General features: G+C 58.2%; 2 protein-coding genes across 30 annotated transcripts in view, besides 9 other annotated features; one reads left to right on the forward strand and one right to left on the reverse strand.

Moving 5' to 3' along the window:
- Positions 1-870: an enhancer, noted in NCBI's record as "H3K27ac-H3K4me1 hESC enhancer chr10:102755784-102756653 (GRCh37/hg19 assembly coordinates)". NCBI's record gives its function as "activates a minimal SCP1, AML or CMV promoter by ChIP-STARR-seq in primed H9 embryonic stem cells {active_cell/tissue: H9 hESC(primed)}" and the evidence as "EXISTENCE:reporter gene assay evidence [ECO:0000049][PMID:30033119]".
- LZTS2 (leucine zipper tumor suppressor 2) lies at positions 562-11,807 on the forward strand. 14 transcript variants are annotated; one of them, NM_001394952.1, is made up of 5 exons: positions 562-645; positions 6,471-6,920; positions 7,481-8,140; positions 9,432-9,689; positions 10,459-11,807. In NM_001394952.1, the coding sequence occupies exons 2-5, from the start codon at positions 6,513-6,515 to the stop codon at positions 11,140-11,142; spliced, it is 2,010 nt and encodes a 669-aa protein (NP_001381881.1). In that variant the 5' UTR covers positions 562-645; positions 6,471-6,512; the 3' UTR covers positions 11,143-11,807. The 14 variants fall into 14 exon arrangements, with proteins under 14 accessions (NP_001381881.1, NP_001381877.1, NP_115805.1 ...); NM_032429.4 differs by lacking the exon at positions 562-645 and adding an exon at positions 1,045-1,208; NM_001394951.1 differs by lacking the exon at positions 562-645 and adding an exon at positions 1,045-1,149.
- Positions 674-803: an enhancer, noted in NCBI's record as "active region_3903". NCBI's record gives its function as "activates an Ori minimal core promoter by ATAC-STARR-seq in GM12878 lymphoblastoid cells {active_cell/tissue: GM12878}" and the evidence as "EXISTENCE:reporter gene assay evidence [ECO:0000049][PMID:35858748]".
- Positions 954-1,243: a silencer, noted in NCBI's record as "silent region_2712". NCBI's record gives its function as "represses an Ori minimal core promoter by ATAC-STARR-seq in GM12878 lymphoblastoid cells {active_cell/tissue: GM12878}" and the evidence as "EXISTENCE:reporter gene assay evidence [ECO:0000049][PMID:35858748]".
- Positions 3,034-3,443: a silencer, noted in NCBI's record as "silent region_2713". NCBI's record gives its function as "represses an Ori minimal core promoter by ATAC-STARR-seq in GM12878 lymphoblastoid cells {active_cell/tissue: GM12878}" and the evidence as "EXISTENCE:reporter gene assay evidence [ECO:0000049][PMID:35858748]".
- Positions 3,544-3,923: a silencer, noted in NCBI's record as "silent region_2714". NCBI's record gives its function as "represses an Ori minimal core promoter by ATAC-STARR-seq in GM12878 lymphoblastoid cells {active_cell/tissue: GM12878}" and the evidence as "EXISTENCE:reporter gene assay evidence [ECO:0000049][PMID:35858748]".
- PDZD7 (PDZ domain containing 7) overlaps positions 11,653-23,816 on the reverse strand; it is a 23,451-nt gene continuing 11,287 nt past the window's right edge. For 3 of the 16 annotated variants that reach the window (NM_001195263.2, XM_011540177.4, XM_047425767.1), the window contains 10 exons: positions 22,796-23,191; positions 22,073-22,270; positions 20,351-20,401; positions 19,610-19,785; positions 16,141-16,232; positions 15,899-15,990; positions 15,664-15,735; positions 14,246-14,857; positions 13,224-13,324; positions 11,653-12,824 (listed from right to left, as the gene is read on the reverse strand). In NM_001195263.2, the coding sequence (NP_001182192.1) occupies positions 12,441-12,824; positions 13,224-13,324; positions 14,246-14,857; positions 15,664-15,735; positions 15,899-15,990; positions 16,141-16,232; positions 19,610-19,785; positions 20,351-20,401; positions 22,073-22,270; positions 22,796-23,191 (2,174 nt within the window). In that variant the 3' untranslated portion in view covers positions 11,653-12,440. Of the gene's footprint in view, positions 12,825-13,223; positions 13,325-14,245; positions 14,858-15,271; positions 15,736-15,898; positions 15,991-16,140; positions 16,233-19,609; positions 19,786-20,350; positions 20,402-21,088; positions 21,758-22,072; positions 22,299-22,795; positions 23,192-23,816 lie in introns of those variants that run through there. The other 13 variants (XM_017016667.3, XM_047425769.1, NM_024895.5 and 10 more) reach the window with 11 other exon arrangements.
- Positions 12,251-12,932: an enhancer, noted in NCBI's record as "H3K4me1 hESC enhancer chr10:102768034-102768715 (GRCh37/hg19 assembly coordinates)". NCBI's record gives its function as "activates a minimal SCP1, AML or CMV promoter by ChIP-STARR-seq in naive H9 embryonic stem cells {active_cell/tissue: H9 hESC(naive)}" and the evidence as "EXISTENCE:reporter gene assay evidence [ECO:0000049][PMID:30033119]".
- Positions 12,933-13,613: an enhancer, noted in NCBI's record as "H3K4me1 hESC enhancer chr10:102768716-102769396 (GRCh37/hg19 assembly coordinates)". NCBI's record gives its function as "activates a minimal SCP1, AML or CMV promoter by ChIP-STARR-seq in naive H9 embryonic stem cells {active_cell/tissue: H9 hESC(naive)}" and the evidence as "EXISTENCE:reporter gene assay evidence [ECO:0000049][PMID:30033119]".
- Positions 17,118-17,247: an enhancer, noted in NCBI's record as "active region_3904". NCBI's record gives its function as "activates an Ori minimal core promoter by ATAC-STARR-seq in GM12878 lymphoblastoid cells {active_cell/tissue: GM12878}" and the evidence as "EXISTENCE:reporter gene assay evidence [ECO:0000049][PMID:35858748]".
- Positions 18,216-18,265: an enhancer, noted in NCBI's record as "active region_3905". NCBI's record gives its function as "activates an Ori minimal core promoter by ATAC-STARR-seq in GM12878 lymphoblastoid cells {active_cell/tissue: GM12878}" and the evidence as "EXISTENCE:reporter gene assay evidence [ECO:0000049][PMID:35858748]".

A 23,816-nucleotide genomic window follows, 5' to 3' on the forward strand; every position in this document is an offset into this window, starting at 1 on the left:
GATAATGTATGTCACACTTGGCCATGAGGGGACAGCTTTGGTCCTCTGGCAGCTTCCTCTCTGCTGTGGATGGGTTTAAGAAGAAACAACTCGGCCGGGTGCGGTGGCTTACGCCTGTAATCCCAGCACTTTTGGAGGCCGAGGCGGGTGGATCACGAGGTCAGGAGTTTGAGACCAGCCTGGCCAATATGGTGAAACCCCGTCTCTACTAAAAATACAAAAATTAGCCGGGCGTGGTGGTGCGCGCCTCTAGTCCCAGCTGCTCTGGAGGCTGAGGCAGGAGAATCGCTTGAACCTGGGAAGCGGAAGTTGCAATGAGCCAAGATCGTGCCGCTGCATTCTGGGCGACAGAGCGAGACTCCGTCTCAAAAAACAACTCACCGAGGTCTCCTGTAGCCCATATGGGCCAGATACCTGTAGACCTTCCTACATGCTGCCTTGAGTGCCATGGTGGGAGGGAGCCCTTGGGGCCTCCCTGCAATACAGGCCAACTTCCTGTTTGTGCCTGTGGGTGGGACTTTATGAGTCTTCGAGAAGCCCAGCCATGCCCCGTGGGGGTCAGAACCCGCAGGCCTGCTCACCTGGGCAGATACCTACTCTAGGGAGGGGGCTGTGCTGGTTCTGCCTGGGCAGCCCCACGCTGAGGTGTGTGCGTGGTAGGGGTAGGTGGGAGCTGCTCTGGTGAAACTTGAGCCTTCTTTGTCTGCTTCCCAGGGGTTGTCCCTGTATTTGGGGATTGGGCCAAGAGTGGACCGGGTTGGGCTCCCATCGGAGCAGGGAGGGTGGCAGAGTCAAGCTCTTAGTTTAAGCTTAGTTTAAGGCAGCCAGGTAGCCGAATTCTCGGTCACGTGATGCTCGCCCCCTTCCCCAGGTCAAAAACCAAATCCAGTAAGCTGTGAAGTCAGAGGCCAGAGGGGCAGCCTCGGCCACCGTCGAGTCACTCTTAGGCTGGGCACTGGGTCGGCTGCTGGTGGAGTGCGGGGCAGACCACTCCCCTCCCTGGGTGGGGGGCGCGGCCTGAGCCGCCCCGCCCCGCCCCGCTCCACCAGGTCGGGCCAGGCGGGCGCCGGGAGCTGGGAGCCGGGAGCCCAGAGTTCGGAACCTAGAGTTCGGAGCCGGCTAGGGAGCCGGCGTTGTCGCGGCGAGGAGGTGGGCGCGCTGGAGCAGGAGCGGGGCCGGAACTGGAGCCGAGGCGCAGGTGGCGCTGGGTGAGTGGTGGGGCGGCGGAGGTGCAGGAACTCCCGCCTCCCGCTCATCCCCGCTCCTGAACGAACTTTCCGCTTCTAGGGAAGCTAGGGGTTGGGGTGAGGAGGGGGGTCCGCACTTGGTGGGGTCCCCGCGAAGAGTCCGAACAGGGAAGTGACACGAAAACGCACGCCGACGGGCCCCACACACGCGTGCACAGACCCACGCCCGCACTTGGGACACGCGAACACACATGCACTCGGAAAGGACGCGCCCAGTTGGCCACCCTTGCACTCCCAGGGACAGCGCCAGCCGGCCCGCGCGGACCCACAGCGGGCAGGGCACTCTGCGGTCGCGTATTGGGTGCGGGAAAGGGGCAGCCCTGTGACTACCGACGGGGGCGGGCCGGGTGGGACGCACCCGGAGGTTCCTGCTTCCTGGCCTCCCGCAGGTGAAGACCAAGACGTAAACAGACGCCGAGCACGTGACAGCTCCGCAGACCAGTGGCCTGTGCCCCCAACCCAACCACGGGGCGGAAATCCACCCTAGTCCGGGGCGCGTTTGCTTGGTCCCAGGCCGGACGGCGTTCCATTCTCCGCCTGGAGCGGGGATAAGCCCTCTCCCGGGAACCGGAGCACAGCGCCCCCTGGAGCCGGGGCGGAGCAGGAGGGCCCGGCTGCTGGGCAGGGCTGGGGTTAACTCGGGCTCCTGGACGTCCTTCTCCCCAGCACATTCTTGGTGTCTGCATCCCTGAAGGTTTCGGAGACAGGCCCTTGATGGCAGTGGACAGCTGCCCCCGCCTGTTACCGCCAGCCCAGAGAGCAGCTGCCTGAGCGCCTGCGGGTCCCCTTCCTACCCTCACCTCCACTCCTTGCGGGAGTCGGAGTCTCCTCCCCCCAGAAAATGCATGAGTGTAAACGCTCCCTCAATACCAGAGTGGGCCTGCCCCCCTAGAAAAAGGAGGACGAGCCCCTCCCCCCAGGGAATGAGGGAGTGGGCAGTAGCCCGATGCCTCCTCCTCGCCCCACCCCCTACCCCTACACACACGCTGAGCCCAGCTGCCGCCTGAGCTGGGCAGGCTGCCAGAAAGAGGAGGAGGCTCTCGGTGCCCCAGGAGGCAGGGATCAGGGCAAGGCCAGAGGAGGGGGCTCTGCTGGGGAGAGGGGCTCAGTCTGTTCTTGTGAGGCTGAGGGTCTGGGGTGAGTCAGGGTGGCTGGGCTGTGTTTCCCTTTCCAGGGAAAAAGAAAGAAAAACAACCCTGTCCATGGAGCTAAAAATAGAGCTGAGAGCCGGCCAGGGCTGTGGCCTGGAAGGGGGGGATGCTCCTTCCTGGGGCCCGGGCGAGCTCCGGCAGGCCTTGGCCCTGCGGGGGAGGGGGTGGTTAGGGGAGAAAGGCTGCCTTTGCCCAGGGATGCAGGCATCAGCTGACCTGACCGGGTCACCGAGACCCCTAGGGGAAAGGCTGTGCGGTAGAATATTTGTGAAGCACGGCGTGTAAGAAGTTGTCTGTGTGAGTGACTGTGAATAGAGGCTGTCAATGCGTGAAAGATGGTTAGGAGACTAAGTGCACTTGAGACTGTGACTGGGTGCGAAGGACTGCGGATTGTTGTGGAAGCCTGTGCCCAACAGGCCTGTGACACCGTGTCTGTGTGTGAGGTGGACTGGAAGATTATGGAAAGAAGGAACGCGGACCCACGTGACGGCTGAGACTGCGGCTGCATGTGGGAAAGGTCTTGTGGGTGTTAGGGAGACTGTATTGTGTGCGAGAAGGTGAGACTACTTGACCCTGAGGAAGTGGAATATTGTCTGCCGTGAGGCTGGTGTAGGTTTGGGCTGTAGGCTTGCACCGGTTCGCCCCAGTGATTGTTGGGGAGCCAGGGGCCGCTCCTCTCCGATAAATGACCTCTCTCTTAGCAAGTGATCCCGAGGGGAGGCTGGGGAGCACGCGGTCGCGCCAGAGGCCGGCCTGGGTTCGCGGGGAAAAGGGCACCGTGCCGGGGAGTGGGGCAGGGCCCGCGTGTTGGGGGCGGCTGGGTGTGTTCTCCGAGCCGGCCGCCAGGTGGCGTCGCCTCCGCGAAGCCCAGGTTGCCGCCTCCAACCCGCCGTGGGGCAGGCGCGGATCGAGCCTCGGCCTCCTACTCGGGCTAGGGCGCGGGGTCCCGGCACCGGAGAGTGGGGGACGGCCGGCCATCGGCCTCTCGCTTGGGACTCTGAGGCTGAGAGCGTGTCAGGGAAGCTTCGCCTGGAGAAGCGGAGGGGGAGGGGCGGCCGCCGCCGCGCCGTGGCCCTTTGTGCTGGAACAATGACCAGCTGCCGCTGGCCCCGGGGCCCCGGCTGGGGTTGAGGGTGACCACCGCCGCCGCCGCGTCGAGCCGAACCGAGCCCCCAGACACGCAGTCACAGGGCGTCGGAGGGAGGGCTCCCGACTGCCGCCGAGCAGCCCCTACGTGCGCCCCGGCGGATTCGCGTGACGCGGGTGCTTGCGCGTGTCCGCGCCCCGGGGCGGAGACGCCCCTCGGACCCTCCCCTGCGCGGTGCCGCCCACTCGCACCGGGCGGGGGCTGGCCAGGGCCGGGGGCGCCGCGGAGGCGGAGGCGGGGCTGGGCCGGGCAGCTCCGAGTGGCGGCGCGCGGGCCAGGGCCGGGGCCGGGGCCGGGGCCGGAGCCGGAGCCGGGGCCGGGCGGCGCGCCTGTGGAGCGCTGGGGGCGGCCTGGGGCTGAGCATGGAGCAGCGCGGCGGAGGTGAGGGGGGCCGGGTCTGGGAGGCGGCCTGGGGAGCCCCCAACTTATGCGCGGTGGAATCCAGCCGGGGGGACGGCGTTCCCCAGTCGCCCCCACTTTCTGGAAGGGGGGCTGGACTCTGGAGAATGGGTCAGGGGCTCCTGGCTTCCCGCCGCAGAATGGGAACTCGTGATCGCAGACTTGACCCCGCTTGACTGGTCCTTGGAGTTTGGGTGGGAGGGAGACTTTCCCCAACTCTTCAGATCCGTCTCCGGCCCTGAACCAGCTCCAGCCCTCTGCTCTCCTCAGCCCACTAAAAGGGGGGTGCTCCTGGGCCAGAGTGATTGCTCAGGGAGTGCTGGGGAGAATGAGGGGTTCCCATCTCCCACAGCCACAAACGCATTTCTCAAAATGGAGCCTCCACTTGCCCCTCCTTCTCTTTCGGGCTCCAAGAGCGGGAGCCGGCCTGGCTGGGCCTGGCTTTCCAGACTCCTGGCTCTGGCTCCCTGGATGTGTGGCTCTCAGGGCCCGGCTCTGTGGCACTTTGGACTTATGGGCCCTCGGCTCCGTGGGGTTGGGGGGCCCTGGCTCACTGGGTCCCGCTGGCTGTCCCCTTGTCGGCCTGACCCTCGGGCCTCTCCGAGTCTTTGTCTCTTTTGGGTCCCTGTCTTTCTCTGAGCCTGTCTCCTTCCTTCAATTTTCACTTTCTCCGTGCTCGCTGAAGTGGGGAAATGCAACAGAGGTGCCAGCCCCCTTGGCCCCCTAAGAAGTCCCTTCCCCACTGTTCACTCCACACCCTGGAGTGGGCCCAGAGAGGGGAGGGGAGGGGGTTCTCTATCTGCTCTGCTGGGGGCTGGGGTGTGTGGGGTGGTCTGAGCCCCAGCCCTACAGAGGGGCCTGTGGTCACTCCCTGCTCCTGGCCTACCCCTCCCCCAGCTCCCCGCAGCTCCTGCCCCAGCGTGGACACCTCTTCCTGGTTCGCAGTGTCTTTTGACTTGGGTGGGAAGGAGGGCGGTGGATTTAATGGAGGGCATGCGAGAAAGAAGGGGAACAGATCAGGCAAAGGAGTTAGATAATGTCCCACCTCTCCCCACACGCCGAAGAGAGAAGGAAACAGGCTCCCCCCACCAATGGGCCCTCAAGCCACCCAGGCTCCCACCACTCTCATACCTGCGTGCCCACGTTCACAGGCTCCACTGCACCACTCACCTTCCTAGTCACACACAAACACAGGAGCTCACACATAAACTCATGAACTTACTGACAAGTCTGTCCAGGCACCGTCTCTCCCACACACCACAAATTCACTTGTTAGATCCACATTTATAACTTTCACAGGCTTTCTAATGACCCCTGATCCACATACTCTTCTAAGATATACACATGTGAATTCACACATGAACTCATATGTATGTGAATGAACTGATATATCAAACATGCATAGACTCACATGATGTTTTCACACACATTTTCATACACACGTGTTCATTTTCATGCTCCTGTGCATGTAGTCACACAACAAATAACTAAATGCACACACTCCTACTCCCAGTGCAATTCTCTGTCCACTTCTTGGCCCCGCTCTGCATGATGACTTCAGCAGATGCCTAAGTCCTGGTCATCAGCGGCCTCGGGACTGGGACTAGGGAGGGGGTTCCGGGTGGAGGCTTGCAGCTGCTTCCAGGAAGGAGCAGAGCCTGGGGAGGTGGAGCCCTCTTGCCTGGGCTCTGTGGAAGTGAGGTTTTGGAGCAGCCTCCAGAGGTGAAGGCAGGGCATCTACCTTCCTCCCCTCAGGGTTAGTTTGGGGACCTTCTGAAGCTGTAGGGTTTCAGAGAGGTTGGCAGTGGGGCAGAGCCTGTGGAGGCTCCTTCAGGCCTTCAGGCCTCACCGATTGGGTGTGCAGAGGCTAGGAGTTGTCATGGAAACTGGTATGAGCCTGCATCCACCTCTGGGAGGCAGGAGACCCCAAAGGACACCTGTGGACTCCCTAAGAGCCGCGGGTTTCTTATTTAGCCAGATCGACAGAGAGGCAGTTTAGCCGCCTTTCTGTCTGAGAGAAACTGAGGCCCAGCAGAGGGAGGCAGGGCACTGCCTGGCCTTGGCTCTTTGTTCCCTAATTACCATCTGAGGTGCTGATTGCACCCCTGAGGTACCTCTGCCCAAACTGCCCTGTAATGAGGCCACCTGGCTGAGAGGACCAGGGACCTGTGCTTCAAGCTGGTAGAGAAGGCCCCTCCCTCACCTGAGTCCTGGCCTCTGTGGAGGATGCAGGATTGGGCTTGGGCCTGGGTCTTTGCTGCCAGGTGGCCCTGCGGTAATCATCCAGGCCTCCCATGCCTCTCAGCATCTCTGCTGAGTGAATTCACTCCTCAGCCCTGTTCAGACCAGCATTGGGCAGTGTGGTTTGGGGCCCAGGGGGAATTGAGATTCATTCCAGCACTTGAAGGGGGAGTCTTGGTGGGGATCAGGGCTTGTTACTGATGTCAAGGAGGTGTTTGGTCAGGATCAGTGGGTCAGGAGGGGTCTCAAGGTGGAGGGACTCTGACACCACTGCCCTGCTTACAGGTCGCCTGCGAGGCCGCTGGCCAGGCCTGAGCCTCTGCCACCATGGCCATTGTGCAGACTCTGCCAGTGCCACTGGAGCCTGCTCCTGAAGCTGCCACTGCCCCACAAGCTCCAGTCATGGGTAGTGTGAGCAGCCTTATCTCAGGCCGGCCCTGTCCCGGGGGGCCAGCTCCTCCCCGCCACCACGGCCCTCCTGGGCCCACCTTCTTCCGCCAGCAGGATGGCCTGCTACGGGGTGGCTATGAGGCACAGGAGCCGCTGTGCCCAGCTGTGCCCCCTAGGAAGGCTGTCCCTGTCACCAGCTTCACCTACATCAATGAGGACTTCCGGACAGAGTCACCCCCCAGCCCAAGCAGTGATGTTGAGGATGCCCGAGAGCAGCGGGCACACAATGCCCACCTCCGCGGCCCACCACCAAAGCTCATCCCTGTCTCTGGAAAGCTGGAGAAGGTGAGGACCGGCTCTTCCTTGTGGGCCTGGGTAGAACGGGAGTCCTCGCTTGGGAAACTGGAATTTAGAAGCTTATATAGAGGAAAGAGTGTGGGCTCCAGATTCACCAGACCTGGGTCCTAATCCCAGCTCTCTCTCATTCTGGATGTGTGACCTCAGGGAAGTCACTTAACCTGAGCCTCAGTTTCTAGAACTGACATGAAGGTCAAATAATGTATAGCATAGTGCCTAGCACGTAGCATGTACGCAGTAAGTGCTAGTTGCTTACGTTCTGGTTATTCTGCACCAGTTATACGTTTGACTTTGGGCAAGGCCTTTAACCTTGCTGAGCCTCCATTTCCTCATCTGTAATATGGGGATAGTGATCATATTTAGATAATGGAGATAAACTTTTCAAATTGCTTGACACAAAGCTGACACTGGTGGCCACCTCCACCAGTGGCCGCAATTGTTATGAATATATGGGCACTGGGGACCCAAGACGGGAGGGCAGGGAGTGTCATAAGGGCTCTGCAAGATTGGGCAGCTCATCTCCAGTGTCACATGGCACCTCATTTCAGAACATGGAGAAGATCCTGATCCGCCCAACAGCCTTCAAGCCAGTGCTGCCCAAACCTCGAGGGGCTCCGTCCCTGCCTAGCTTCATGGGTCCTCGGGCCACCGGGCTGTCTGGGAGCCAGGGCAGCCTGACGCAGCTGTTTGGGGGCCCTGCCTCCTCCTCCTCCTCTTCCTCCTCCTCTTCAGCTGCTGACAAACCCCTGGCATTTAGTGGCTGGGCCAGTGGCTGCCCATCAGGGACGCTATCCGACTCTGGCCGAAACTCACTGTCCAGCCTGCCCACCTACAGCACCGGAGGTGCCGAGCCAACCACCAGCTCCCCAGGCGGGCACCTGCCTTCCCATGGCTCTGGGCGAGGGGCACTGCCTGGGCCAGCCCGAGGGGTCCCTACTGGGCCCTCCCACTCAGACAGTGGCCGGTCCTCCTCCAGCAAGAGCACAGGCTCCCTAGGGGGCCGTGTGGCTGGGGGGCTTTTGGGCAGTGGTACTCGGGCCTCCCCTGACAGCAGCTCCTGTGGGGAGCGCTCACCACCACCCCCGCCTCCACCTCCTTCGGATGAGGCCCTGCTGCACTGTGTCCTGGAAGGAAAGCTCCGAGACCGGGAGGCAGAGCTTCAGCAGCTGCGGGACAGTCTGGACGAGAATGAGGCTACCATGTGCCAGGTGTGGTCAGAGGCAATGATGGGGAAGGGGCATGGCAGGACATCCCAAGGCCCTGGGATGCAAGCGGCATTTCCATTTTGGCAGGGAACGGGGGTTGGGTAGTTGTAGTTGTGACCCCCCTGCCCTCCCCACCAGTTGTCTGGTTTAATGTGTGGAGTAGCCAGGTGTGGTGGCTCACATCTGTAATCCCAGCACTTTGGGAGGCCGAGGTGGGCGGATTGCTTGAGCTCGGGAGTTTGAGACCAACCTGGGTAACATGGGGAAACCCCATTTCTACTAAAAATAAATTAGCTAAGTGTGGTGGCATGTACCTGTAGTCCCAGCTACTTGGGAGGCTGAGGTGGGCGGATCACTGGAGCCCAGGAGGAGGAGGTTACAATGGACTGACATTCCACCATTGCACTCCAGCCTGGGCGACAGAGCAAGACTCTATCTCAAAACAAAAAACAAAACTTGTGGGGTGGAAAGGAGTCAGAGTGCATGGATTCAAACCTCCCACTGCCAAATACTAGTTTTTGGGCTTGAGCAAGTTGCTTAACTTTACTCAGCCTTTATTTCTTCATCTATATAGGGATATTTCTAGCTTCGTAGGATTATTATGAGGATTAAATAAGGCAAAAGGTGTAAAGTGATTAGACTAATGCCTGGTACCTAGGAAGTGCTATATAAATGCTTGCCTTTTTTAAAATTTTTTATTATTTTTTATTTTTAGTAGAGACAGGGTTTCCACCATGTTGGCCAAGCTGGTCGCGAACCCCTGGCCTCAAGTGATTCACCTGCCTCGGCCTCCCAAAGTGCTGGGATTACAGGCGTGAGCCACTGCACCCGGCCAAGTGCTTGCTTTTTTTATTTTTTGAGACAAGGTCTCATTCTGTCACCCAGGCTAGAGAGCAGTGGCGTGATTTCAGCTCCCTGTAGCCTCAACCCCCTGGGCTCAAGCAGTCCTCTCACCCCAGCCTCCCAAGTAGCTGAGACTACAGGCGCATGCCACCACACCAAGCTAATTTTTGGTCTTTGGAGAGGCAGGGTTTTGCTGTGTTGCCTAGGCTGGTCTCGAACTCCGGAGCTTAAGTGATCCACCCACCTCGCGTGAGCCACCGAGCCCGGTCTGCTTGCTCTTGTGTTTGTTTCTATGATCATCATAAAAGCAGTTAGTATTGTTGTTGCAATTACTATTGTTGTTTAATGGAATCCACCCTTCCTGAGCCCTCGGAAGTGGGCTGCCAGAGCAGACACTGAGTGGGGAGTTGGGAAAACTGCCCAGGAGCCAGGTCTCTCTTCTCGCCTGCAGGCATACGAGGAGCGGCAGCGGCACTGGCAGCGAGAGCGTGAGGCCCTGCGAGAGGACTGTGCGGCCCAGGCACAGCGGGCACAGCGGGCCCAACAGCTGCTGCAGCTGCAGGTGTTCCAGCTGCAGCAGGAGAAGCGGCAATTGCAGGACGACTTCGCACAGCTGCTGCAGGAGCGCGAACAGCTGGAGCGGCGCTGCGCCACCTTGGAGCGGGAGCAGCGGGAGCTCGGGCCGAGGCTTGAGGAGACCAAGTGGGAGGTGGGCCAGACCAGGAGGGGCAGGGAGCAGGGTCACACAGGGAGAAACCCTGGAAAAAGGGGCCCAGCCCCACCCTCCCTCAGCCTGCCACCCCCAGAGGTCCTCCCCTTTCTCACCTCCGTGAGATGAGGTTCCCCTCTGTCCCTTTCTGGGAGGGGGGTCTCCTTGTTGGCCTTGTCTAGTGGCACGTAGCCACGCTTCCAGCCAGTAGTAAGAATGTGGTGCTTGTGGTGTGGAGGCACTATTCTAAGCATGTTACATGGAACAGATCATTTCATCCTTATAACAACACTGAGGGGGCTACCATTAGTCTCCCCATTTTAGAGATGAGTAAACTGAGGCCCATAAAGGCTGAAGCCCCAAATCTGAACCCAGGCAGTCTGGCTCCAATATCTGAGCTCTTAACTAGGTCACTGTAGTACCTCTCCAGCAGGCACCTGGGCACTGCCCTCCATTGTCCCCACTCCTGCAGCACTTGCCAGGACCCAGTCCCCAGTCCCCAGTCCCCAGGGCTTGGTGGTACTTGCAGTGTCTTGTGATGCTTTGAAGACACCAGCTTTGAAGCAAAAAGTTCTAGGTCTGCTTTCCACTTAAGCCCCATCTTAACTGTATGACCTTGGACATGTCACTAGACTTGCTTTAGTGTCTCCATCTGTAAAATGGGGATAAAGATGGACTCTTCTCTCCCAAATGCCCAGCATGATGTGCAGGGCCTGTCCCCCCAGGAGAACCTGTCTCACCATCCTTCCCCACTTCCTCCCACCCCCAGGTGTGCCAGAAATCAGGCGAGATCTCCCTGCTGAAGCAGCAGCTGAAAGAGTCTCAGGCAGAGCTGGTGCAGAAGGGCAGCGAGCTGGTGGCTCTGCGGGTGGCGCTGCGGGAGGCCCGTGCTACGCTGCGGGTCAGTGAGGGCCGTGCGCGGGGTCTACAGGAGGCCGCCCGAGCTCGGGAGCTGGAGCTGGAAGCCTGTTCCCAGGAGCTGCAGCGACACCGCCAGGAAGCTGAGCAGCTGCGGGAGAAAGCTGGGCAGTTGGATGCTGAGGCGGCCGGACTCCGGGAGCCCCCTGTGCCACCTGCCACCGCTGACCCATTCCTCCTGGCAGAGAGTGATGAGGCCAAAGTGCAGCGGGCAGCAGCCGGGGTTGGGGGCAGCTTGCGGGCCCAGGTGGAGCGATTGCGGGTGGAGCTGCAGCGGGAGCGGCGGCGGGGTGAGGAGCAGCGGGACAGCTTTGAGGGGGAGCGGCTGGCCTGGCAGGCAGAGAAGGAGCAGGTGATCCGCTACCAGAAGCAGCTGCAGCACAACTACATCCAGATGTACCGGCGCAACCGGCAGCTAGAGCAGGAGCTGCAGCAGCTCAGCCTGGAGCTGGAGGCCCGGGAGCTCGCTGACCTGGGCCTGGCCGAGCAGGCCCCCTGCATCTGCCTGGAGGAGATCACTGCTACTGAGATCTAGGGCCCTCAGCAACCAGCTCTGTAGGGAGCTCTGCCAGAGGGGCAGCAGCTGCAGATCCACTTAGGCCCCAGGGTCCACGGATGGCCCCAAAGGCTGAGGGCCCCAAAGCCACTTGTCTCCTAGGATCCAGGCCTCTGGGCTTCTGCCAAGAACTCAGGGTGGCCCTATGACTTGGAGGAGCAAGATCAGACCGCTCAAAGGTCCCCGTGTTCACTGTTACCCAGAGGCTCTTGTTACTACCCACTTCATTCCCCACCGCTGCCAGTGCCACTGCCAACCCTGTTCACAGGCGCTTCCAGCCCACTCCAGCCAGGGGAGCAGGGAAGAAGAAGGGGCTCCCTCCTCTTCACATTCCCCCCGACCCCAAAGCCAGAGAAAGCCAGATGGCACCAGCTGCTCCGGATGTGCCTGCCCACATTGGGGGACAGGGCCGGGCCTGGGCTCGGTTCCCAGGTTTGAGCTCTGCAGCCTCTCTCCTGGAGTGAGGGGGCTGAAGTCAGACCAAAGGAAGAACTCAGAAATGTCTTGTTTATTTGTGTTTGTGACCAAGCAGCCTCTCCCTTCACCCAGGTTTATGGCCTCGTTTTCACTTGTATATTTTTCACACTGTAAATTTCTTGTACAAACCCAAAGAAAAAATTAAAAAAAATTTTTTTGTTTAAAAATAATGTGAATGTGCTGGATAAAGAGTACAGGAACTTGTTTGACCCCCCCCCCCCCACCATTTGCTGGCTATTCTCCTCCCCCTCATAGAGCTCTCTTGGGGAGAAAAGGTGATGGAGGAAGGACAAATCCAGTAGAATGTCTGAGGTCTTAGTGGACCCCAACGTGAAATGATCTCTCAGGATTTCAGGGACTAGAAAAGCCTTTCATCCGTTTCCTTGCACAGAATGCTGCTTGGGGTTGAGGAATGGATGCATTGACCCCTTCAGGGCCCTGTCTGAGAGTCTGTGTCCCTGGAGGCTTGGGCGACTCATAAGGGACAGCATGTGAGAAAGTGCCCACCAATCCCAAGCTCCAGACCTTGGCTTTCTCACCCCCTATCCTGGCTTGGGAGGTTGGGGAGCAGTGAGTGCAGGTGACACAGGCTGCCCACTAGCACCTTGTCCTTGGACACTAAGGCAGAGCCTTAATGACAGCTGAGGAGGGAAGAAAGTGGAAAGATGTGAGCCACCAGTGTGGCACTGGGAGGAGGCAGGGTGGGCAGGAGCTGGAGAGTCCTGAAGAAGTTGGTAGGAGAGGTCCTGGGGATAACGGGATGCTGGAGTCAGTGGGTGAATCTGAGGTTAGGGGGAGGGTCATGGGATGCGTGGGGAGGGTGCGGGCTTAGAATCAGGAGTCTGGAGGGCTGGGGAGGGGGCTGGGCTGGGAGTTGGCTGGAGGAGCCTGGCATCAGTGGGAGGAGTCTGGGGATTGGTGGGAGGTTCTGGGAGCCAGTGGGCAGGAACTGGAGCAGCATCAAGGGGTTGGTGGGCAGGCAAGTGGTCAGCAGGAAGGCCCCCATCAGTAAGGGCTGATGAGTCAGAGGGTGAGGGCCGTGGGCTGGGCCCGGGGACCCTGACCACAAGCTCCATGGGCTCCCGGGCCTTGTTTCGATAAGCCCGACGGATGGTGTCTACTGCACGCTGGTGGGTCACCTGCTCTAGATTCTCTCCGTCCACTGCCACAAGCTCGAAGCCAGCCTAGGGTGGGGTGAGAGAGTCACATCCCTCCCTCCTCATGTCACCCTGCATCAGCCCCCAACCTGAAGGCAGCATCTTCTCACCTCCACCCATGAGGACACTCCTCCCCCATCTGGGTGGAGGGGATGGACAATGAGACTTTTGTGCCTGCAGTTGTTGGGGGCAGGGTGGGGCACAGACAAGGGCTCTTTGTCCCTTGGGGCTCAGGCTCAGGCTAGCATGAGGGGACAGAGTTTTCCCTGGGCCTGCTCATCCTGCTCACCTGAACCCCCTCACCCCAAGCCTCCTCCCACAACCCGGGCTAAACATGTCTGGCTGGAAGCTGAGCATGGCCAGCCCCACCTCCTGCCTGGTTTCAGCTGTGCTCTGAGAGGGTGGGCCAGGGCATGCTTCACCCACCTGCAGGGCCCCACTGAGGAAAGCGGCCCCCCCAGGGAAGATCTTCTCTATCTTCACCATGGGCTGCACCTTGGACTCAATGCCCCCAGAAATGCTGATACCTAGTGACAGGGAGAAACACCGTGTGAGAGTGCAGCCGGACCCCAAAATGCAAGCTCCCTGGAGAAACCTAGAATCCCATCCCCAAATCCAAGGCCCCAACTTCTCCCACATCCCTACATTCTGTTACTACTCAAATCTCAACTCATTCCAAAATCCTCCAGATCCCAGCCCCTCAAATCTAGACCCCACCCAACTGCACCCCAATACCCCAAATTCCCTTTTATTTATTTATTTTTTGAGACAGAGTCTTTTTTTTTTTTTTTTTTTTTTTTTGAGACGGAGTTTCACTCTTGTTGCCCAGGCTGGAGTGCAATGGCACGATCTCGGCTCACCGCAACCTCCGCCTCCCGGGTTCAGCCGATTCTCCTGCCTCACCCTCCCTAGTAGCTGGGATTACAGGCATGTGCCAACATGTCAGGCTAATTCTGTATTTTTAGTAGAGACAGGGTTTCTCCATGTTGGTCAGGCTGGTCTTGAACTCCTGACCTCAGGTGATCCACCCTCCTGGGCCTCCTGAAGTGCTGGGATTACAGGCGTGAGCCACCGCGCCCGGCTGAGACAGAGTCTTACTCTGTCACCCAGGCTGGAGTGCAGTGGCGCAACCTCAGTTGGGCTCACGGCAACCTCCGCCTCCTGGGTTCAAGTGATTCTCCCGCTCAGCCTTCTGAGTAGCTGGGATTACAGGCGCCCACCACCACACACGGCTAATTCTTTTGTATTTTTAGTGGAAACGGGGTTTCGCCATGTAGCCCAGGCTAGTCTTGACCTCCTGACCTCAAGTGATCCGCCTGCCTCAGCCTCCCAAAGTGCTGGGGTTACAGGTGTGAGCCTCTGCGCCTGGCCCAATACTCCTCCAGATTCTTTTCCTAGGCCCAGGCTTCCTAGTGTCCTCTGCCGGGCCCAGTCCCACGTGGACTCACCTAAGGACTGCTTCATCTTGGACAGTGTCACTGTCTTCAGCTCGCCACTGGGGTTCTTCATGGCTGCCTCCTTGGCCGTCCCCTCAGTTCCACTCTCCGAGGGCCCTTGCTTGGCCCCCACCTTGGCTGCCTCCCCATCCAGAGGTCGTGGCAGAGGGGGTCTGGCCTTCCGAGGCTTGTGGTAGCGCCCATTGGTCATGCTGGGGGCAGGGGTAGGCACCGGGGATGGGGAGCGTCTACCTGGAGACTTGCCTTGACCCCGGCTGCTGCGGCTGCGGCTGCGGCTACGGCTGCGGCTACGGCTCTGAGCCCGGCCCCGGATCTGGCTCTGCGGAGGGTGCTCTCGGCTCAGGGGTTCTGTCAGCAGCCAGTTAGGCCGCAGGGGCCGGGGAGCCACGGGGGGTAGCTGGGGAGGGGGTGTGCAGGCAATTCGGAGGGGGGTGAAGGCATCTACTGGCACGTCTTGTAGAGGGGGGATCCCTTTATGGGGGTGGCGAGGGGCAGAGGCACTTGGGGAGACCTTGAGGGCCCCCAGCCGCTCCCTCAGCTCCCCATTATCTTCCTCTTCCGGGAAGCCGTTCACCGGCAGCAGGTAGAAGCCTCCGCGGCTGTCTGGGGAAGAGCGCCAAGGTCAGCTGCCCACTCCTCCCCTCTCCAGGACCCAGGCCTTGCTTTGGTTTGTGTGGGGCCTGTGAGAGCCAGGCCCGAGTTTGTTCAGGCACCACTGCAGTGCGGCCCACCCACCGGGGAGGCAGACAGACATGTTCTATTAGAATCGCTTATTTATTTATTTGAGATGGAATCTCACTCTGTTGCCCAGGCGTGGTGGCGCGATTTTGGCTCACTGCAACCTCCACCTCCCAGGTTCAAGCGAGTCTCCTGCCTCAGCCTCCCGGAGTAGCTGGGATTACAGGCGTGCACCAAAAAGCCCAGGTCATTTTTGTATTTTTAGTAGAGACGGGGTTTCGCCATGTTGGCCAGGTTGGTCTCTACTCCTCACCTCAAGCGATCCACCCGCCTCAGCCTCCCAAAGTGCTGGGATTACAGGCGTGAGCCACCGCGCCCGGCCTAGAATTACATTTTAATGCTTCCTGCTGGAATCGTTACCGTTCTATTTTAATGTGTCTAAGAAAAAATACGACTAGCACACCAAACGTAATTTCTCAGAGGTTACTGCATAGAATGAGACTAGATTTTAAAAGTGAGTGGGTTTCAAACCAACTATTAAGTAATAGTACAGGTGGTGACCAGCAGATGTGATAAAATGGCTCTGGTGGACAAGAGCTTTCCTTCAGGGAACCACAATGTGCCTGGAAGCCACAACTGCCCCTAGTGGGGAAAGAAGTAGAAGGCCCATCCTCCTTTCCCTAATCTCCCCAGGGCTGTGCCCCTCCCTGGGCTCTGGGACTCTGACTGACCAGGCACGGGGGTGATAAGGTGACGCTTGGGTGGCGTGTCCTGCCGGGCTGGTCTCAAAGCAGGAGGCCGGACTGGTTGGAGAGATGAACAGGTCAGCGGCAAGGTACCCCGCCAGGCTCCGGGACGGAGGCAGCTCAAGGGGCTCGGCAATCTCTGCAGCCCTCTCCACCACGGGGTCCCATCCCCACCCCCAGCAGGGCTCAGGACCCAGAAGCCCCGCCCCCCACTGCTGACCTGCCCTGCTCTTGAGGGCCTCAAAAGCCTCCAGCTCCACAAGCATCACCATGCTGTCGAAGCGGCCCAGGTCTGTGGGGGCCACCACACTCCTGGGAGAGGGCGAGAGACAGCAGGGGTGGGAGGGGCAGGCAGGATTTCAGTTCCGGAGGTGCCAGGATGCCCTTCAGCCCTCGGGAGGTTGGGGGTGGTACCAGGGATCCCCTTCCTGCCCCCAAGCCCTCTCTGCAACCTCCTCCCACCTGATGTCCTGCAGCAGTAGCAGCTTCTCCGGCCTGTCGAGGATGGCCAGCAGGGGCCTCACCAGGTCCTCTATGCCTCCCTCGTGCACATACTGCAGATAGAGGCAGCACAGGTCAGACAGCAGTGGGGGCTTCCAGAGCTGAGTGAGGGGGACACCAGGGCATGCAGGTGTTTCTTCTACGCATGTAGGGACCTATCCAGCCCTGCGTGCCTTGGGAAAGGTTCACTCCACCCCCAGCTGCCACAGGGTGGTCTGATCTTGGTGACAGGGTGGAAGCCTGCAGTAATAACAGACCTGCAATAAATGGCAACAGCATCGATAACAGCTTTGGGACAGACACTTTTCTAAGCCTTTTACATACTGTCTCTCAGCAACCACCCTGAGAAATGGCATTAATTATTCCCGTTTTACAGATGCGGAAACAGGCTCAGAGAGAAGGACTTCACTCAAAGCCACACAGATAAGGAAGTGTGAAGAGGGACTGGAACCCGGGAAGTCTAACTCTTGCCTGCTCTGGTGCCGGAAAAGGATGTGCAGGGAGTGGACTCTCCTCCCCACCCCCACATCCCAGGCAGAAGGAAGGAATTTGAGCCAAACTCTAGGCTGTGTGCCTGGCTGTCCCAGCATATGTCTGCACACAGACCTACAAATTAGGCTTTGTTCGGGGCTAGAATAGGAGCCTTGGGGAAGGGCCTCTCCAATCAGTTCCCTTGGAGGGGGGCGGGGTGGAGCCCCTTCTGCCTGGCACTGCCCGGATGCCACCAGCCACACCCCACTGACTCTGAAGACCTGAACACTGGGAGCCATCCCATTTGGACAGCACATCGCCCCCTCGTGGCAAGAGGGAGACTGAGTCAGGGACACGCACGCATAGAACACTTTCTATGGGCACAGGCACAGAGACAGAGCATGCCTTGGTGGTCAGAGTGAGTCATTCATAAATATCTGGAAATAAATACAATACAAATGATGTGTGTGGCCCCAAACCACACACAGTTACAGCGACTCACACATACACATATCAATAATACATTCCCTTTTGTCTGGAGAGACACATGTGGTGCAGAACCAGCCTCATATGTGCACACGCTTTAAGTCCATGGACTTGGATTCGGTACCTACTAAGTGCCAGGCCCTGTACTGGCCAGCAGGGGCACAATGATCCTGTCTCAGATCTTCAGGAACTGGGTCTAGTGGGAGCGAGGGGAAGATGAGTCACATACCCTGGTGAACTACAAACCATGGGCAATGGGGCACAGGGAGTCTCAGAGGAAGGTGGGAAGATCCCAGTGGGCTTCATGGAGGTGGTGGTATTTTGACTGACTCTTAGAAGATAGACGTAGGGAACAGCACAAAAGTTGGGAAGAAAGTGTTGCAAAGGTGGTGTGGAAAAACGAGTAGATAGTGGTTTAAACGTGGCCATGGGGTCCATGAAGAGCCTCCCTGCAGGGCTGCTGCACAGGCTGTGACTATATGAGTAGCGTCTCTGAGGTTGTGCAGGTTGTAACCTGTATAAACCTATGCGGCGGCCGTGGGAAAGTGGAGGTTGGTGGGTTAGGGAGTTGAATCTGGGAGGACCTCGAATGTGAGAGCCAAAGACAATGGGTCACCTCTGCCAAAGACAATGGGTCACCAGGTGGCCTGGGGAGTGTACAGCGATCAGACAGGGGTTTCTTTTCTTTCTTTTTTTTTTTTTTTTGAGATGGATTTTCGCTCTTGTTCTCAGGTTGGAGTGCAATGGCACGATCTTGGCTCACTGCAACCTCCACCTCCAGGGTTCAAGCGATTCTCCTGCCTCAGCCTACCGAGTAGCTGGGATTACAGGCGCCCACCACCATGCCCAGCTATTTTTTTTTTTTTTTGTATTTTTAGTAGAGATGGGGTTTCACCATGTTGGACAGGCTGGTCTCGAACTCCTGACTACAGGTGATCCGCTCACCTCGGCCACCCAAAGTGCTGGGATTACAGGCGTGAGCCACCGTGCCTGGCCAACCAGACAGGGGTTTCTGATTCCTGGTCTGGCAGCTGTAGAGAGATGGCTCACATGGGGAGAGAAGGGAAGCCTGGAGTTCAGGGCTACATGCCCCAGTCACTAGGAGAACTTTACTCATCACTCCAGCCAGGGCTCCATCGCAGAGGGTCTGATCTCTTGGTGTGGGGGGCTTGGGTCAGGTTTGGGTGGTGGTTGAGCTCGGCAGGTGGTATGGGGGCACAAGTGGGAGGTTTGGGCAGAGGAGAAGGGAGGGATGAGGGAAAAGGAGCCTCCAAAGAGACAGACCCAGAGCCCCACCTCGTGGCCAAAGCCTGCATTGCCGGCCCACTGGAGGCTGGTACACGCTGCCCTACTTAGCGCTGGGAGCTAAGGGTGACACTTTCTGAGTTTAGCCCAAAGCCCCTTAGCTTCCCCCAGCACACACCCCTATCTGCAGCTCTGCTGCAAACCGGGCCTTGATAACAGGATGCATAAATGACCATGTCTCAGTCTCCAGGTGACAATGCATGGACACACACACACACACACACACACGCTAGCCAGACACGTGCTTGCTCACATGCACACACACACACACAATCATGCAGTCATATCAGTACAAACCAGGTACCCCACAGACACGCCAGTGCACACACCACACAGACATACAACACAGCCCCACTTTGAGTAAGATGAAGGGTGAGGGAATCCACAAACAATTTTTCAAGACCCCCCAGCTCGCCCTCACACACAGTGTGCAGACTCCTCACAAAGAGCCCAGTGTACACACACAGGCCTTCCTGAGACAGGGACAGGAGAGGACCTGCCAGTCCTGGAGTGAGTGACCTGTGCCCCACAGCCTCCCCAACAGGTGGGCCCCAGAGACTCCTTCAAATCTGACTCTCTCTCCACCCTGGGGCGCTCTGGTTCTTTTTGAAGTGGAAGAGAACAGAGAACGACAGTTTAGGTGTTGGGGGAGGCAAAGGATTACTTACTTGGGCAACAGGGGAGAGGACCTGGCATGAAGCCAGGCTTACTGGCTGACCTAGGAGCAGAGGGTGGCATGCAGTGAAGGATGGAGGCTTGCAGAGGGCAGAGGCAGGCGACTGCAGGGACTCACTTTCCCCACGTGGCACCTGTCCGCTCCTTCTCTTCTCAGCTTAAATATCACCTCCTCTAGGAGGGCCTCCCAGCCCACACCATCTAATGTGTGTCTCCTGGGTTACCGTCTCATGTTCTTTTTCTTCAGCTCTTCATGTGACTCATCACCATGGGCGTTTAGGTTCTAGTGATTTTCTAGCTCTTCTTCCTGTGAGCTGGCAGATGTGTGTGTGTGTGTGTGTGTGTGTGTGACAGGAGTGACTTCTGATTTTACTGACCACTAGCCTCCTGGTGTCAAGCCCAGACACTGGTCAGTGGACAGTGGCCTGAATGAATGATGGGCTGGGTGACTGAAGGACCGTGTGCCAGGGCTGCGGATGGGATGAAGGCTTACCCGGGAGCAGTGGCGGGTGACAGCCAGCACCTCGTCATCAGTCAGCAGCCTCTGGGCCAGGTCCTGAATGAGGGGCCGCCGGCTCTCCCAGGCCTGAACCTGCTCATCCACATTAGGCAGCTGGCTGGAGGGACTCCCAGACCTGGCAGACAGCAGGGCCCGGCCCCTCTCCTGGTCTGCAGGGCAGGAACCATCAGGGGAGGGGAGAGGGGCTTCCCTCAGCAGGGCTGGGCCCCAGAATTGGCCAGCTGAGAGCCCAGGTACCTGGGGCAGAATCCTAGCCTAGCCTATATGCTCCCCACCATGGTAGCCCACAGCAACCTGCCCACCAATGCAGCACAAACCCCAGCCCTCAGCCCCAACATGGACCCCTATACCAGTCTGTTTCTTAATGGGGTCTTAGCCCAGTGCCCCCAGGGCCCCCTGAACATGCACTGTCATAGTAGTCTGTTGCCCAGTGGAGGCCCAGCACAGGCTCCCTCATCACCCCCAAATATATCTTTGGGAGTCCCAACACAAGCTCCTAAAATGCATCCCAATATCTGTCTGCCACCCTATCTTTCCTAGTCAGCTTAGTCCAATTCTTTTAGCTGCCCCCAATACATACCATTCTAGCTGCCTGATCCCCCATGCTTGACCCTGACTGAATTTAGTCCAGAGCCACTCAGCTGGCCCCCAGTATGCACCCTCATCTGCCGCTCTACTGTAAACTAGGCCTTGGTAAAGGGATGCATGAATTACCACGTCTCAGTCTCCAGGTGACAAACTTCTGTACCGGGCCCACGCCCCCTGCTATGAAGAAGAAAGAGGCTCAGCTGCAGGCCTTGGCCCCCAGTCTGAAAATGGGGTTCAGGAGGGCTCAGGACAAGCTGGAATGGAGAATTCAGACTGGAAGTAGGTGGGATAGGGAGGCAAGAGGCCTGGCCCTGAGGGGCTTGAAGGCAATGCTCAGGCTATGGACTTCCTTCATAGGCAATGGGGAGTCAGGACGGTTTTGGATCAAAACAGGGTGCAGTCTGAGCACTGCTTATGCAAATTCACTTGGAAGCAAATGTATGGAGGGAAGAACCTCAGGGACAGAGCTTGGAGAAGTACCTACCTTCAGGGGACAGAGGGAAAAAGAGGAGCCTTGGAAGGAGATAGAGGAGTGGCCAGAGAGGTGGGAGGAGAACCAGCAGAGGGCAGGGACTTGGGAACTGTGGGAAGAGAGATGCACTGACGGAGAGGGGCCAGGCAGCCGTAATTGGAAGGGATTGTCTCTCCCATGGTACAATCACCTTGAGACCCCAGAACATCCCACCCCAGGGCAAAGCAGGGTCCAGCTCCTCATCCTCTGGTTGTTTTGTTGATCCGACATCCACCCCCCTCTTCTGAAAACAGCACCCTGATTTTCCCCTGGGGACCCACCCCACTCTGTTCTTAGCCCGTGTACTCCAGGGTGGGTACATGACCCAGGCTGGCCAACAAAAGCACTTTCCCTCCCACATCACAGCGATTTATTCTGCATGGCACAGGATCTCAGCTGGGCCAGGGAGAGCCTACCCTGGGACTTCAGCTGGAACTATTTAAGGAGAAGCACTTTCCCCTGGGGTTGCTATGCAATAGAGGTCATCTTACCCCCAGGTGGGCAAAGCCCCACAATAGCGAAGTCAACTCATGGGAGAGATGGAGGGGGACAGATGTCTGATGATGTTGCTCAGATGTTTAGACCCAGCTTAAATCAGCAGCTGAGCCAAGACGTGCTTTATTTTTCTTTTACTTTTTTTTTTTCTTTAGAGACAGGGTCTTGCTATGTTGCCCAGGCTGGTCTTAAACTCCTGGGCTCAAGTGATCTTGCTGCTTCAGCTTCCAGAGTAGTTGGGATTGGCCAGGTGTGGTAGATCACGCTGTAATCCTAGCACTTTGGGAGACTAAGGCGGGTAGATAGCTTCAGTCCAGGAATTTGAGACTAGCCTGGGCAACAGGGTGAAACCCCCATCTCTACAAAAAGATGCAAAAAAATTAGCTGAGCATGGTGATGCACACGTGTCATGCCAGCACTTTGGGAGGCTGAGGTGGGAGGATCGCTTGAGCGTGGGAGGCGCAGGTCGCAGTGAGCTGAGATGGTGCCATTACACTCTCGCCTGGGCAACAAGAGCAAAACTCCATCTCAAAAAAAAAAAAGAAAGAAAAAGAAAGAAAGGAAAGAAAGGAAGGAAGGAAGGAAAGAAAGAAAGAAAGAAAGAAAGAAAGAAAGAAAGAAAGAAAGAAAGAAAGAAAAGAAAGAAAGAAAGAAAGAAAAGAAAGAAAGAAAAAGAAATAGGTATTATTACCCCCATTTTACTCATGAGGAAACTGAGGCTCTCAGGGGTTGAGTAGGGACTCAGCTGGTAAGACGCGGTGTGGGATCTCAACTCAGAACTGCTGAATGCCGAAGCTAGTGGACTTCACTTTGCCTTCCTGTTTGATCAGCCCACTACTTACCTTTCTCTATGTCCAGGCGAGGGTAAGTTTTGGCCAGGCTCCCGCTGTCCAGTGTCCAGGCCTCTCTGCGCCCGTCCCGCGCTAGCCTCCCCTGCCGCCCTCCCTTGAAGAAGAGGTTCATCAGCGTCTTGGAGCGCTGCAGGGCACCCTTCTCCCCAGGGGACCCCGACTTCTCCTTCTTCCGCTGCTGCTTCTCCTCTGCAGACACGAGGGAGCAACGGGGGAGCTGGAGGGGTGGGCAGAAGGGAAGGACGAGGGGCAGGGGTGTGGGGAGGGACAGAGAGAAGGGAGAGGAGAGGGCAGACAGGATCTGCAGCTACGCCGGGGTGAGAGTGCGGTTCCTCTTCCGACTTTCTGACCCTTTTCCCCACCGCACAGCTGTGGCTATGTAAGGAATCTCCCTTGAGGCCCAGTTAGAGAAGGGCACACATGCGTGCGTGTGTTTGAGCAACTGTGTGTGTAAATAGGCCTGGGAACTCCAGGATCCAGGGGCTGGGGTTAGGGCTGGTTCGGGGAACAGGGGCTGAGACTAAGGGTGAATGTGGGGTCCAGGACTAATTTAAAGTGGAGCCCACAGCAGGGTCTGAGCAGCCTGGAGCTTGGGTTGGGCAAGGGCTTCGTCAAGGCCTGGGGCAAAGGGAGGTTTGAGCCCGGGACAGGATGTGAGACAGGTTTTGGACCAGAGGCTGTGGAGGGAGCAGCCGCCACCCATCCCCCACGTACCCCACAAGGTCAGATAGCTCTGGGAGCGCGTGATGGGGGGCCGGGGTCGGCTGAGGGCCAGCAGCAAAGCCGTCTTGGGAGACTCAGAGAGCGCAGAGTCAAGGCGGCGGCCGGGATGGGGGCCGTCCGAGCGGATGGCGGTGTCCCTGAGGATGACTGTGGGCCGCACGCTGCACCAGGTCTCCACCCGGCCTCCCGCATCGGGCTCCGTCTGCATGGCTGTGTCCGCCCGCCCCCAGCCTGGGCCGCGGCTGCCGGGCTCCTCCTGCCCGAGGCAGATGTCCATGCGGTCCGACGGCAGGGAGCCCGAGCTGTAGGGGGCGCTGGAGGCGCACGAAGAGACGCTGGAGCTGCTCTCAGAGGCCGGGGACAGCTGCTGCAGCACCCCGTTGCTCACTGCAGGGAGTAGAGAAGCCAGGGATCAGCGGGCTTGCTTCAGAGCCCTGCCCGGCTTGCAGACCACCCTTGGGCTTAGGGGTGGAGGAGGCAAGGTCAGGCAGCAGCCAGGGTTAGAACCGCAGTGGTGAGGAACCCGCTGCTCCGAAATGCTGCCACTGACCTAAGGCATGTCACTTCTCAAATCACCCACTGGGACTCCAGACCCTAGGAGAGCCTGCATTTTATCCGCAGATTCTCAGAGGGGAGCCCAGAAATAGCTCTGGACTGTGTGAAGGGTCTTGGTTCCTGTGCTTTTCTGCTTCCCCTTCTGCTTCTGCTTCTGCCTCCTCCTCCTCCTCCTCCTCCTCCTCCTCCTCCTCCTCCTCCTCTTCTTCTTCTTCTTCTTCCTCCTCTTCTTCTTTCTTCTTCTTCTTTTTTTTTTCTTTGAGACAGTCTCATTCTATGGCCCTGACTGGAGTGCAGTGATGTGATCTCGGTTCACTGCAACCTCTACTTCCTGAGTTCAAGCGATTCTTGTGCCTCAGCTTCCCAAGTAGCTGGTATGACAGGTGCCCACCACCACACCCAGCTAATTTTTGTATTTTTAGTAGAGACGGGGTTTCATCATGTTGGCCAGGCTGGT

The sequence above is a fragment of the Homo sapiens genome, chromosome 10, assembly GCF_000001405.40.
Source record: "Homo sapiens chromosome 10, GRCh38.p14 Primary Assembly".
NCBI classification, from domain to species: Eukaryota; Metazoa; Chordata; class Mammalia; order Primates; family Hominidae; genus Homo; species Homo sapiens.

Bases quoted from the DNA above. Each gene is read 5' to 3' on its own strand.
- LZTS2 (NM_001394952.1), top strand. From the start codon at position 6,513: ATGGCCATTGTGCAGACTCTGCCAGTGCCACTGGAGCCTGCTCCTGAA. The intron at 6,921-7,480 runs GTGAGGACCGGC...ACCTCATTTCAG, and splicing joins TCTCTGGAAAGCTGGAGAAG to AACATGGAGAAGATCCTGAT. The intron at 9,690-10,458 runs GTGGGCCAGACC...TCCCACCCCCAG, and splicing joins TTGAGGAGACCAAGTGGGAG to GTGTGCCAGAAATCAGGCGA.